General features: G+C 35.8%; 1 protein-coding gene across 2 annotated transcripts in view; it reads left to right on the forward strand.

Annotated features, from left to right (window-relative positions):
- The window catches only part of GNAI1 (G protein subunit alpha i1), a 91,351-nt gene extending 80,980 nt beyond the window's left edge, over positions 1–10,371 (forward strand). For both annotated transcript variants that reach the window (NM_002069.6, NM_001256414.2), the window contains exon 8: positions 1,493–10,371. In NM_002069.6, the coding sequence (NP_002060.4) occupies positions 1,493–1,683 (191 nt within the window). In that variant the 3' untranslated portion in view covers positions 1,684–10,371. The remainder of the gene's footprint in view (positions 1–1,492) is intronic.
- The last annotated feature ends 2,716 nt before the right edge of the window (positions 10,372–13,087 follow it).

Consider the following 13,087-nt stretch of genomic DNA (forward strand, 5'->3'; position numbering starts at 1 on the left):
GTTAGATGGAGTGCCAATTTTGAGCAAATGTGAAGGCAGGCAGAGATCTCAGCCGGTGAAGTAGAATGAAGAGGAAGTACTACAGTACCACAGGTGGCAGTTTGCATGTTAGGTCCTCACGACATGGACCTGGGGTGAGCGCCAGTGTGGAGGAGAGGATCTCAGAATGATGGCACTGCAGAGCAGGCTGGGTAGTAGAGGACCTTGAAAGTCTGGCAGATAATTTTGGATTATTACTACAAAAGAGGGGTTTAAACAGTTTTTTTCCAAATGAAATTTGAATGTTTTTCAGTTTTTTTATTGAAGCATTACATAGAGCATTACATTATATACATTAATGTATATTATAATATTATGTACATACATACATACGTACACACACACCCTCAGCATAAGTGCGTGTTTAAAGGTTAATGTACCAGTATCCACCACTCAGGTCAAGAAACCAAACAGCTTCAGGACCCCAGAAAGCCCCATCATGCTTCCTCTCAGTCTTAACCAATCAAACCCTCCCCACAACACACACATAACACAATCACAACCCATACACATAGTAATCACTGATTACTCACTGATAATCACTGAAGACCTTAATAAAAGAAAGAACACAAAGGAAATATACACCCACTTCACATGTTCCACAGACACTATTGGTGAGGTTTTTGTCCTCACCAGTTCATTTTTCAAACATTGTTGGATCATACAGTATGCGATCTTTTTGCATCTAGCTTCTTTTGCTCAACAGTACACTTAGGAGATTAATTCATGTTACTGAGTACTTTCATTCTCACTTCTTCTGTGTCTTCAGTGATACACAGTTCTGTCAAGTGTATATCTAGAAACTGAATTGCGGGGTCAGAGTGTGTGTGTGATTATCTTTAGATATTGCCAAACAATTTCTGGAGTGTTTGTACTCAGAGGAAGTCTTTTATAGTCAATAACCTGAAAGCTGGAGTGTGTCATTCACTTTTTTTGTAACCTCATACTCCTAAACATCATTGTAGACCTTGGTACAATTTTTGAATAAAGAAAAATGAGTGAAGAATGCAAATTAATGTATATATAGAAAAGGGAGGAAAAAATACTGATCAGCATTCAGCCAACATTTTTTGATCCACCATTGGGCCAGAACTGAAATAGCATGCCGTCGTCAAGCATCTGAGCTGGGGTGTAGAGGACAGAGGATAAGAGGATAAAAGATCTGGCATTTGAGGATTGAGGCAGGAACAAAGATCATGATGAACACGGAATGCCATGTAAAGGAAATTTTTTGTTTAAGGGATAACTTAGTCATTAAAGGTAATTAACATGGAGTGTTTTTCATTTAGAAGAAATAGTGTCTCCCATTCTAGAAGGGAAAGCACAGTTAAGGAGTCCATGAATGAAACTGTATGAAACTGACTTCAGTTTCATATGTATGAAACTGAATTCAGTATTTTAAGCAGTTATTTTAACTTTTTGCATTTATGTTTCTTTCCTTTTTCCATCTCAGGATCAAACACATATGAAGAGGCAGCTGCATATATTCAATGTCAGTTTGAAGACCTCAATAAAAGAAAGGACACAAAGGAAATATACACCCACTTCACATGTGCCACAGATACTAAGAATGTGCAGTTTGTTTTTGATGCTGTAACAGATGTCATCATAAAAAATAATCTAAAAGATTGTGGTCTCTTTTAAGTTTTGCAGTTCATGGTAAAATGCATTTTCAAACCAAATGAGTACTTATATATGGATCTCTGTAGACTAGAGTCTTGCAGCAACACAGAATGTAATATAAGGCAAATGCATCTGGGACTTGACCAAAGTTGTTCTGTTTTGTTTTTTTAACTGAAAGTAACAGAAGGACCTTTCTTAAATGTGACAGATGGTCCTGCAGTGTGAAACTGAAGGACAGTGTTAAAGCTGGGCTCTAGTATATTGATGATTTCTGCATAAGTGTAAATATGCAAATGTATGTATACATGTATTTATGACTTTAGTTTTCGACATTATTTTTAGGTTTTAAGAGTGGCAACTTAGGATTTTAGGGTGATGGCTTTGGAAATAACATAAATATACCTTGTACTGAATGACAGACTATTACTACGTTTGCCAGTTTTAAACAGCTTTATTTATGTTCATGTCCTGTAAATTTTTAAGTACAGTAATTAATATTAGGAAACATTACAGCCCTTATCTAGATTATATGTATACTTGTATTAATAAAAATGTTATTTGTACAAACATTGCACAGACTATTTTAATAACATGATTTGTTCTTTAAATTTTATGTGTTTTATTGAAATGTTCTTAAGATGAATACACCTGCCTTTGGATCAACTATTTAAACATTGTATGCATTTTGATTTTTCCTACTTTAAGAAAATAAAATAATTTAATTTTACATTAGATTCCACGTTAGATTTGGTTTGAAAAACTAAAATTTCAGATTTCTGAGGATATACTGTCTTAGACTTATTGTACACACTTAGTTTTTATTCACTTGTTTTCACTCTGAATTTTAATATTTGGCTGATATGAATGCATTGCCTCAAAGGTGATGTCATCTTAATTTTTATTCACTTTAAATAACTACATTTTTGTTTATAACTAAGTTTGGAGGGATCCTAAGAGCATTTTTGTGGGTAAAAAAAAAACCTGTGGACATAATGAATTTTGAGACATTGATTGGTGAGGCTTTTATTTCCCTTGAGGAGTCTCTTGTACCTAGCATACATGATAGCTCCTTGTTGGGAAGATAACAAGAAGGATCTTTGAATACTCTATTGCTGATATAATGCAAGATTTAAATTTATACATATAACTAATTTCAAATGTAATTATCACACTATGTTAAAATTACTTTTTTCCCTTAGATAATTCAAATTTCTCCACTTGCTTGAGATTATATCATTTCTTTTTCAATTATACTATTATTTCTGAGAATGAAATGGACGATTACACTTAGAAAATGAGTAATAGTGTTTAATAAGTCAGTGATTATATGTGTGCTCAAATAAGTGTTATGTATCAGCTAGATACTGAGCTTTGATAGAATAATTTTCTTTTGATTATTCATGATGTGTCATCTCTGACCTTGTTTCAGCAAAGTAAACAGCACTCCCCACCCCACCCTCCTTTTTTTACTCATCTTGGAAAAGGTTAGTCTTTCAGTACACGTTGCTGGTAAGTAGTTTCCAAGTTACGTGTTGTCACTGGGTTGAAGTATATTTGTGTGTGTGTGTGTGTGTGTGTGTGTGTGTGTAACCATAAACTATATTCATATCTGTTTCATTTGGAGGATTTTCTTCTTTGTAATGTAAAGAAATTCAAAGTTATCAAAGTTCCTTAAATGTGTTAGTTTAGATTCTTTATGTGCCTTTCATGAAAGATATGTTTTCATTAATTTTACTGGTGGACCTGTAATATCCACATTGTGAAGCTGTGTATGAAATTCAACTATAATATGAATAAATTTGAATCATGAGAATTATGGGTTAAAAAGCCACAAAGAAGCACATATTGGTGACCATCATTAATGAAATCCTGAACTTTATTCTGTGTAATTGTGTTAATAAATCCTAATAAATTTAAATTTTTAAAATTTTACAAACCTATTGGCTAAGTACATTTTGGATTAGAATTTAAGTATCAGTCTGTTGTTTCTTCATTTCTTCTTTTTCTATGCTCTTTTTACAATTTCAGCTACTCCAGAAGCTCAGATTTTCCCTGTTCCAAGCTATGAGATGTGATGCCACATTTGGAATTGCCTTCTTGATATCCCCTTCTGAGAATGCATTGCCTGCTTTTTAACTCATTATATTCAAAACTAAATTCATCATCATTCTCTCCTTACACCAGTTCTCACCCTGACTTTGCCATTTTTCCTTACTAAGTACCATCATCATTTATTCCTTCAATGGGGAACTTTTTAGTTTAAGTTCTGGGATACGTGTGCTGAACATGCAGGTTGGTTACATATGTATACATGTGCCATGGTGGTTTGCTGCACCTATCAACCTGTCATCTAAGTTTTAAGCCCTGCATGCATTAGGTGGAACTCTTCTGATTCCTAATCTCCATTTCAATTTACTGACAGTTCTACAAAGCCTTAAATCTGTTTTTTGTTTGTTTTCCTTTCTATTCCTACTACTACCTATTCAAGTCTTTGCTAAACTTCCTCTTAAAATGGCATTATTAGTTAAATTCCCCACCTCCCATTTCTCTCTTCTCGAAAAACCCAGGTTAGTTATCCTAATGTAGAACTGTGGCCCTATCACCTTCTATTCCTTGATCTGCATTGGCTCTGATTTGTCAATAAAATTAAGTATAAGTTAGCCTGCCATTTAATGCTCTTCATCACCTGAGGCCTGTTCCTTTCTACACTGTATCCAAATAGTGTCCTGTGCATAACCTGGGCTTTCCTCCAAGTACTGTATTACTTACTACATGTGATATGCTTAGAGCAGTGCCTACAATGTGGGAAGTGTTCATTTGTGTCTGTCAATGTTATTTTTATTAGCACTTTTAAAATGGTGTGTAAAATGTATTGGCACTTTTAAATTTGGCACTTTTAAATTTGTTTGTGATACCTCTTTTAGACTCCTCTGGCATCTGTTCTTCAGGGTGCCCTTCTGGGAACTACATGATTCTGATAGAGCTGCCAATCGCATTTCTTACTTCTCCGTCTCTAGGCTTAGACCTGACCAATCCGAGTCCTCCAGCATTGGACGAGTGAGCCAATCATTGTCCCAGTTGCCATTCTTAAAGTCCCTAAGGCGCTTGTGGTTTCTAAAATTCTCTTCATTTCAGTAACCTTCTAAAAGTCTACTTTTTTATGCCTAATCTAGTTTAATCGAATTCAGTTTGTTACTGAAAAAGTACTGATTAAAATCCATATGTTCTCATTGAATACTGACAGTAACTAGAGATCAAAAAAGGCTTAAAGAGGTTAATTAACTTGAGCAAGACCAGATGAAGGTTTTAAACCTAGAGCTTCTGACTCCATGTCTGTCAGAGGACCCCAAAGATGCTACCTTATTTCCAGAAAATGTGTAAGTAGTGTTTCGCCTATCCCCACTCTGCCCTTGAGTTCCTCTGAGCCATAATAGTTTTTCAGATTTAAAAAAGGAGATACTTATTAATGTCTTTCATCAGAGCTATTTTTTACTCCTTAGATGTGAAGCTACTTAAGAGCACAGTTACCATTTTTTACATCATTTGCCGTTTGCAGAACCACCTTATGTAAATGAATTTAGTTGATACTGTAATCATTATTACAGATGGTAGCATCATCATTGCTTAGTGTGTTATGTTGGAAGTAGAAAGTGATGGTGAAAATCCTAGGCTCTGGCACCCCGTCTGGCTTCAAATCCTGGCTCAATTTCTTATTAACTGGGAAAATCTGGGCAAATAATTTAGTTTTGCTCTGCCTCCATTTATATCATCTGAAAATAAATAAGGATTAAATAATCCATTAATTTTAATGGTTGTTGTCAGCATTAAATAAGTTCACAGTACATGTTAAGTACCTAGAGGGGAGTGTGGAATGTATAAGCCGTCAATACAATTTGCTGTTATTTGATTATAAATAATAGTTTTAAGGTGCCTTTAAAATCATAATCAGTGCTTAACAAATGGTTGTTGATACGTGCTTTGAATGAAATGCCTCAAAAACAAAACTCTCATAATTCGTTTTCATAATGAAAACTAAGTGTCTCACATATTGATACTGGAAAATGAGAAAATGCAATCTCTAATCAACTTGAGGACACTTCTGTCGTTTTAATGTAACCAATAGTATGAGAGAGTTTATATTTTAATGTTAGGTTGGAAATTTTCTTTTTTTTTTTTTTTTTTTTTTTTTGGTATGGAGTCTTGCTCCTTCACCAGGCTGGAGTGCAGTCGTGCAATCTCCACTCTCTGCAACCTCCAACTCCATGGTTCAAGCAATTGTCCTGCCTCAGCCTCCCGAGTAGCTGGGATTACAGGCATGCGCCACTACACCCAGCTAATTTTTGTATTTTTAGTAAAGGGGGGTTTCACCATGTTGGCCAGGATGGTCTTGATCACCTGACCTTGTGATCTGACCGCCTCGGCCTCCCAAAGTGCTGGGATTACAGACGTGAGCCACTGCGCCCAGCCAGTTTTCTTTTTTAGTTCTTTTCAAAACCCTTTCTTAACAGTTGAAATGCATTTATATAAAGAAGTTTACGTTTCACAATCCCACTGGCCTGTTTCCCAGGCATTTTTTTAAACCAATTACTGTTTGCTTTGGTGTCTGTTGTGATTTCTCTTATTTAGTTGGATTTTGTAGTTACTTTAAAAGTTACGAAATTTCACATTTCATCAAGTCCAGAGGCCAGAGACACCCAAATATGCACAGACAGGAATCAGCTGCAATTGTCCAAGCCAGAGCTGATTAGGCCTCAACTGGAATAGTCCCACCATGTAATAAATCTTCCTGAGTATTGTGTATAAGGTCAAATATTTCCAGCTTCTTTGATTTTACTGCCCGTCTTCCTAGGTCTCCATCCGTAAAGTGGATGGAAACACTGTCATTGAAGGAGCTAGTTCTTCAAATTTAATTTTTTTTTTTTTTTTTTTCCTGAGACAGAGTTTCGTTCTTGTTTCCCAGGCTGGAGCGCAATGGTGCGATCTCGGCTCACCGCAACATCCGCCTCCCGGGTACAAGCAATTCTCCTGCCTCAGGTTCCCGAGTAGCTGGGATTACAGGCATGCGACACTACACCCAACTAATCTTGTATTTTTAGTAGAGACGGGGTTTCTCCATGTCGGTCGGGCTGGTCTCGAACTCCTGACCTCAGGTAATCCGCCCACCTCGGCCGCCCAAAGTGCTGGGATTACAGGTGTGAGCCACCGCACCTGGCCAAAATATTTTTAATTGATTAAAAATGAGATAATTTGAGGAAACATGCATAGAATACTAGACAGAGACTATTTTAGCAGATAAGAGTGCCACTTTTAGTAAAAGAAGTTGTCACCTAGAAGAAAGTACAGGTGCTCCTTGACTTACCGTGGGTTAAGTCCTGAAAAGCCCACTGTAAGTTGATAATACCTTATTTTGAAAATGCATTTAATACACCTAACCTACCAAATGTAGCTTAGCCTGGCCTAACTTAAAGGTGCTCAGAACACTTAGATTAGCATACAGTTGGACAAGATAGCATAAAGCCTATTTTACAATAAAGGATATCTCATGTAATTTTCTTGGATACTGTACTGAAAATGAAAAACAGATTGATTGCATGGGTACTTGAAATATGGTTTCTAACTGAATGCATACCAGTTTCGCACCAATGTAAAGTTGAAAAATTGTTAAGTTGGACCATCATACGTTGGGGACCATCTGTACATAGAGTAGGACTCTTGAGAGCCTAAGGGCCACAGAAATTCCTTTTCCAACTGCAGTGTCTATGGAGGGATTCTTATAATTAATTTTATTCCTGTGCAAACACACTATCTGTGTATTCTCTATTTTACCAGGATTTTTTGTTTTTGCTAAATTAGACATACAATTTTGCAGTTATTTTTTACTAAGTTGACAAATGTTTGTACAATTTCAGTGTAAAGCTAGTCTTCAAAATAAACCACTGTGAAGATTGGATATTACCTTGGATTTTCTGTTGTGCACTCTTGAATTTTAATTATGTTCTGTGGAAACTTCACAGAGTTTTAGCTTTGATCCTTCCTTCACTTTTGAAAATCAAGAGTAAAGTTAAGTCAAAGCTACTTCTAAACAGCTCTATCTTTAATTTCTATTAAATAGTACTGAGGTATCAATTTTGTAGCTTGTGGAATGCGGACTATCCCAGCAGCAAATTCATTAATATGGTTTGTATAGGACTCACTTTGCAGCATTCAATTTTAGTATAACATGTTTTCCTGTTTACAAATATAAGTAATTACCTTTCCGTTTTAAGTGACCAATTGTCCTAGCAATCTACTTCACAAGGCAATTTACCTGTAATAAATATAACTTTTTTGCAGACTTGAGCATACGTTTAAACCATTTAACCATTCTTGAATTTCTTAACATAGTAAGTTACAAATTTTAACTATGAATCTTCTTCTTCGAAAGGAATCTTGTCTAAATCTAATAAAGCATTTTTCTGGCTGAAGCTGCAATGGAAAGCTTCAGTATGAAGCTGGCATAAGGAAAGCCAGTAAAAAGTGCCCTTTCTTCTTTCTGAGAGCCCCACCTCTGATCCTCCTACACTTAAGGCTTCTAGATGCAGATTTATACAATAGTGCTAAATCAAGACCTTGAAAAATGTACTCATATAGTAAGATTTACTCAAAACCACGAACTCCTCCATTATTTAAAATATGTTAGAGATACATAAATATATAGAGAAAATGCATACATACATAATTTATTGAGTGCCTACTGTGTGCTAGGTACTTTTCTGGGTACCTTACTAATGCTCTCATTTAGTCATCAGAGCAGTCCTGCAATATTGGTAAAATTTCCATTTTCTATATAAGGAAACACATTTAAGAGAGGTTAGTATTTTGTGCAATGTTGGCTATCTAGGAAGTGGCAGAGCTGGGTGTAAAATCTAGAGTTAAGACCTTTGTTAGCCATATCTTCAAAATCCAGTGTCATTTCTTAGCCATATCTTCAAAATCCAGTGTCATTTCTTAGCCATATCTTCAAAATCCAGTGTCATTTCTTAGCCATATCTTCAAAATCCAATGGCATAAAGAAGTTTTTCACAAGGGTGCCACATGGTGTAGTGCAGCATGTCCAACAGCATTGCCTGAACAGATGTTAATAAGTATGCATGATGCACATTAGCATGTCAATGGCTGTGAAAAGCCAGTGCAGTAAAGAAGTAAAGAGCTCTCTGTGTGTTAACCCTCCATTTCACAAACATAGGAACTGCACAGACACAGCAGCCACTACCCAGGTGTGAATGCAGAGCACTTAAAACGTAGCTAGTCCAAAGTGAGTTGGCCTATTAGTGTAAAATACAAGAGTTCAGATACACAGAATTTAAAAATTACATGTTGAACTGATTTGTGATATATTGGGTTATATAATTTTAAAATTCTACTTTTTTTTACATTTTTAATGTGGTTTTGGAAAATAGGTACTCATGTGTCTTTGCATTATATTTGTATTTGGGAAATGAAATGCTTTATTTTTCTTCCACAACAACTCTATTTGCATTGCATGGAAATGTTCCCAAGTTTTAGAGAAACACATACAAAAACTAAAAAGGATAGAATGCTAAAATTTGAATGTGGAAGATGTGGGTCTTGGTGTCTTGAATAAATCACACCTTCAGTGACTTTCTTGGGAAATGGTGGGCCTCAGTAAAGACTTGGACTATTCCAGTTTTAAATGCTATCGTTTGGTTTGGTGTAATATAGCCTTTCCTGTGGGGGGAAAACCCATCTCATTTTCACTTTAAATATGTCAGCTATAATAAAAGAGAGACATACACATTTTAAGATCTATACTCTAAAACAGGGTTTTGAAATTAGCAGCTCTCTTTATTTTTAGTTCCAATACATGGAGGGGGAGTTGACCCTTCAAGATACTGGAAAATTATTAAATCCAGTTTACAGACTCATCTCTTTAGTCTGCAGCCAAATCAAAAGATTAGTGGGGTTTTTTTTAATGTTGTTATTGTGTTGTGTTTTGTTTTTTTAATATGTTTCAATTCCCCTAGCCAAATTCCTTTCTTTCTCCACACCTCCCACAGGACTGGGCTGAGCACAGTCATGCATTAAAAAAGCTTCTGAACTTATTTTGGAAAGAGTAGCTCCCTGGAGTGTGGAGGAGGACAGGAATTTGCTATCTGCAGGACTTAAATCAGGATAGAGTATCAAATATTCCAAGGCCTTACATGCATGTTTTGTTTTTTGATAAAGACAGAAGATTGCAAATGGTTTGCTCTTTAACAGTCAATAAAATCATATCTACTAATCAATACATTTGAAGTTTACTAGATTCTCAAACTTTCCATAAGATTTGAGTTCATTAGTTTAATGGGATCGATCTGAGAAAAATTAGATTTATGTGCAGATTTTAGCTACCCTTGTCCTTGGAATGTGTATGCACACACACACACATCTGTGAGAATGATTATTTTCTACTTGATACAGTGTGCATCAAATAAAAGTTTACTATATTGGAATATGGGAATAAATTCATTTATAATTAGTTGAAATTGTCCAGACACATATTTTAGAAAAGTATGTTATTTTTGTTTTAAGTTTGGAAGAACCTGAATGATTAAACCTGATTTAAGTCCCTCTAACAATTATGAAGAAAAAAAAAGACTAGATTTTATATCAACTTAATTGTCTTTTGGTTTAAAATTATGTATCCAATAAAGACATTTAAAAAGTAAATTTATGTCCATATTATTTTTAATAATCCAGCCTTTGAAAAAAATCATTGGCCGGGCACGGTGGCTCAAGCCTGTAATCCCAGCACTTTGGGAGGCCGAGGCAGGCGGATCACGAGGTCAGGAGATCGAGACCATCCTGGCTAACACAGTGAAACCCCATCTCTACTAAAAATACAAAAAAAAATTAGCTGGGCATAGTGATGGGCGCCTGTAGTCCCAGCTACTCGGGAGGCTGAGGCAGGAGAATGGAGTGAACCCAGGAAGCTGAGTTTGCAGTAAGCCAAGATTGTACCACTGCACTCCAGCCTGGACGACAGAGCAAGACTCCATCTCAAAAAAAAAAAAAAATCATTTTTTAATCACATCATGTTCCTATTTATACACATCATTAAGGTAATTCTATTTTTATCTCTTGTATTAAGTTGGTTGAATGCACTTTATTTAAATACATTATGGTTCACATGGAAAGCAGAGCTTTACATGGAAGAAAAGCAGCATCAATCCTACCTAATTTCTTGGGATCCAAGTTTTTTTTAGGACTGTGATTTTTCTTGGCATTAAGTATGTGGATAATCAAAATCAAGGATTATTCTGTTTACTAACACATATTTGACTGGCAATCTCAGGCCAGGGCTGTTTTAAACACGACTTATCTCAAATTTAGCGAAAGAGTTCACTTAAGTCATATAAACGCTTCATCTTTTCTAATTAAGTGTTATCTCTTTTTTCCATGAACCTTTGGCAAAAATGTCCTTTGTGTTTAGCTACTGTCAAGGACAGTTTGGAAGCATTTGACCCGTTAAGGAAAATACAGCTGCTATCTCCACTTATAGACATTGTGGCAAAGCTCTAATGAAAAAGCAACTTTAAAAATGTATATGTTTCTTCTAATAACTCATTTCACCAAGTCAATTTAATACTTTTAATTTAGGTCTGAAAAGACTAAGGACAACATTTGGTGTGGATAGGTTTTTAAAAATTTTGCCACAGAGATTTGGACAGAACAAAACTATTATATTGACATTATTATTTTTACTCCAAACCCTGTTTTTCCACAGTATTTAGGAATAAGAGTGTAAGTGTGTGAACTCAGGTGTCATTTACTTTTCAAATGACAACTTAGCACCTTTGCTGTGAAAAGTCCCATTTAGGGACACAAAACAGGAATAGTAATGAAGAGGCCAGACTGTCTGAAACTGAATCCTGGCCCTGCTGCCTCCAATTGTGTGACTTTGAATAAGTTACCTGGCCTTTCTATGCCTCAATGATTTCCATATAAAATGAGGATAACATTAGTGCTGTCCTCCTGTAGTTGCTGCAGGGACTCATGAGTTATTAATGTAAGGTGCATGATGTGTGCCAGACACATGGTAATTGTGATGGAACTTTTAAATATAAATTTCATCATAGTGATGTTGGTGATGATGACAAATATGAAGAATAGAGAGGAAAAGAAAACGGAGATAGACATTTAAGTAACTAATTGTAATTCAAGGCAAAACAAAATGGGTTTGGTGACCGTCTGTTCCAGCACAGTTCCAGTTTATCTCTATTGTCACAGCATGATTATTAACTTCATCCCATTGCAGTCTCAGAATGGATCTATAGTCCTGGACATAAGAGCAACCTGATATGAGAGGTCACAGGACAGACTTAAGGCCTTACGAAGGAAAAGACTTTTGAACTGACCCATAAAAGGAACAGGGGCAGAGAGGGAAAGTCATTTCTCTGTCTGTTGCCCAGCTCTTCGTGAAGGGGAGCTAGAAGAAGCTACATTTTCCTTTAGTTTTCAGCAGAGCAGAAAAAAATTCCAAACAAGACTATATTAATGTTCTATTGCCACTGTAACAATTTACCACAAAATTACTGGTATAAAGCAATATAAATTTATACACTTAAATTCTGGAGGTCAAAAGTCTAAAATGGGTCCATGGGACTGCACATCATCTAGAAGCTCTAGGGGAGAATCTGTTTCTTTGCCTTTTCCTCTTTCTAGAGGCTGTTCACATTCCCTGGCTCATAAGCCCTTCCACTGTCTTCAAAACCCAAAGCCTATCCTCTTCCCTCCAATCTCTGCATCTGTCCTTACATTTTCTCTATATGTGTTCTGACTCCTGCCTCTTTCCTATAAGGACCCTTTTGATTACACTGAGCTCATCTGGGTAATCCGGAATAACCTCTGTAATTTAAGAGGCTTAATTTAATCACACGTGTAAAATCCCTTTCACCCTATAAAGTAACATGTCCACAGCTTTCAGGAATTAGAACATGGACAACTTTTGGTGGGGGCGGTGTGTTATTCAGCCTACAACCGAGACTCATTTTTCTGGTATCAACAGTACAGTATTTAAAGTCAAATATCATCCTATTAAAGATGAAAGGTTCAATGTTTTAACAATCTCAGGCGCAGAGCTGTCAGCTAACTGCAGTTTCCAAAACCAGAATCAGGAATTCTCTGAGTTACTTTAATGTGACTTTTTAGCTATATGTTTAGGAGAATACCAGTGCAAGAAATCCTCATTATCTGAGAGCAATTGGTAATGGAAAGGATTTTAAAGTTAGACCCTTTAAAATAGGAAGAGAAATTCACAATAAATAATCATAAACAAGGTTGACTGGTTTATTTTTTGACAAATGAAGTGTAACATTCTAAAAATATGCTTTTTGTGCTTAACAAAATTTAAATTACAATTTCAGTTGTGCTCTGATTTGTTGAA

This window comes from Homo sapiens, chromosome 7, assembly GCF_000001405.40.
Source record: "Homo sapiens chromosome 7, GRCh38.p14 Primary Assembly".
NCBI classification, from domain to species: Eukaryota; Metazoa; Chordata; class Mammalia; order Primates; family Hominidae; genus Homo; species Homo sapiens.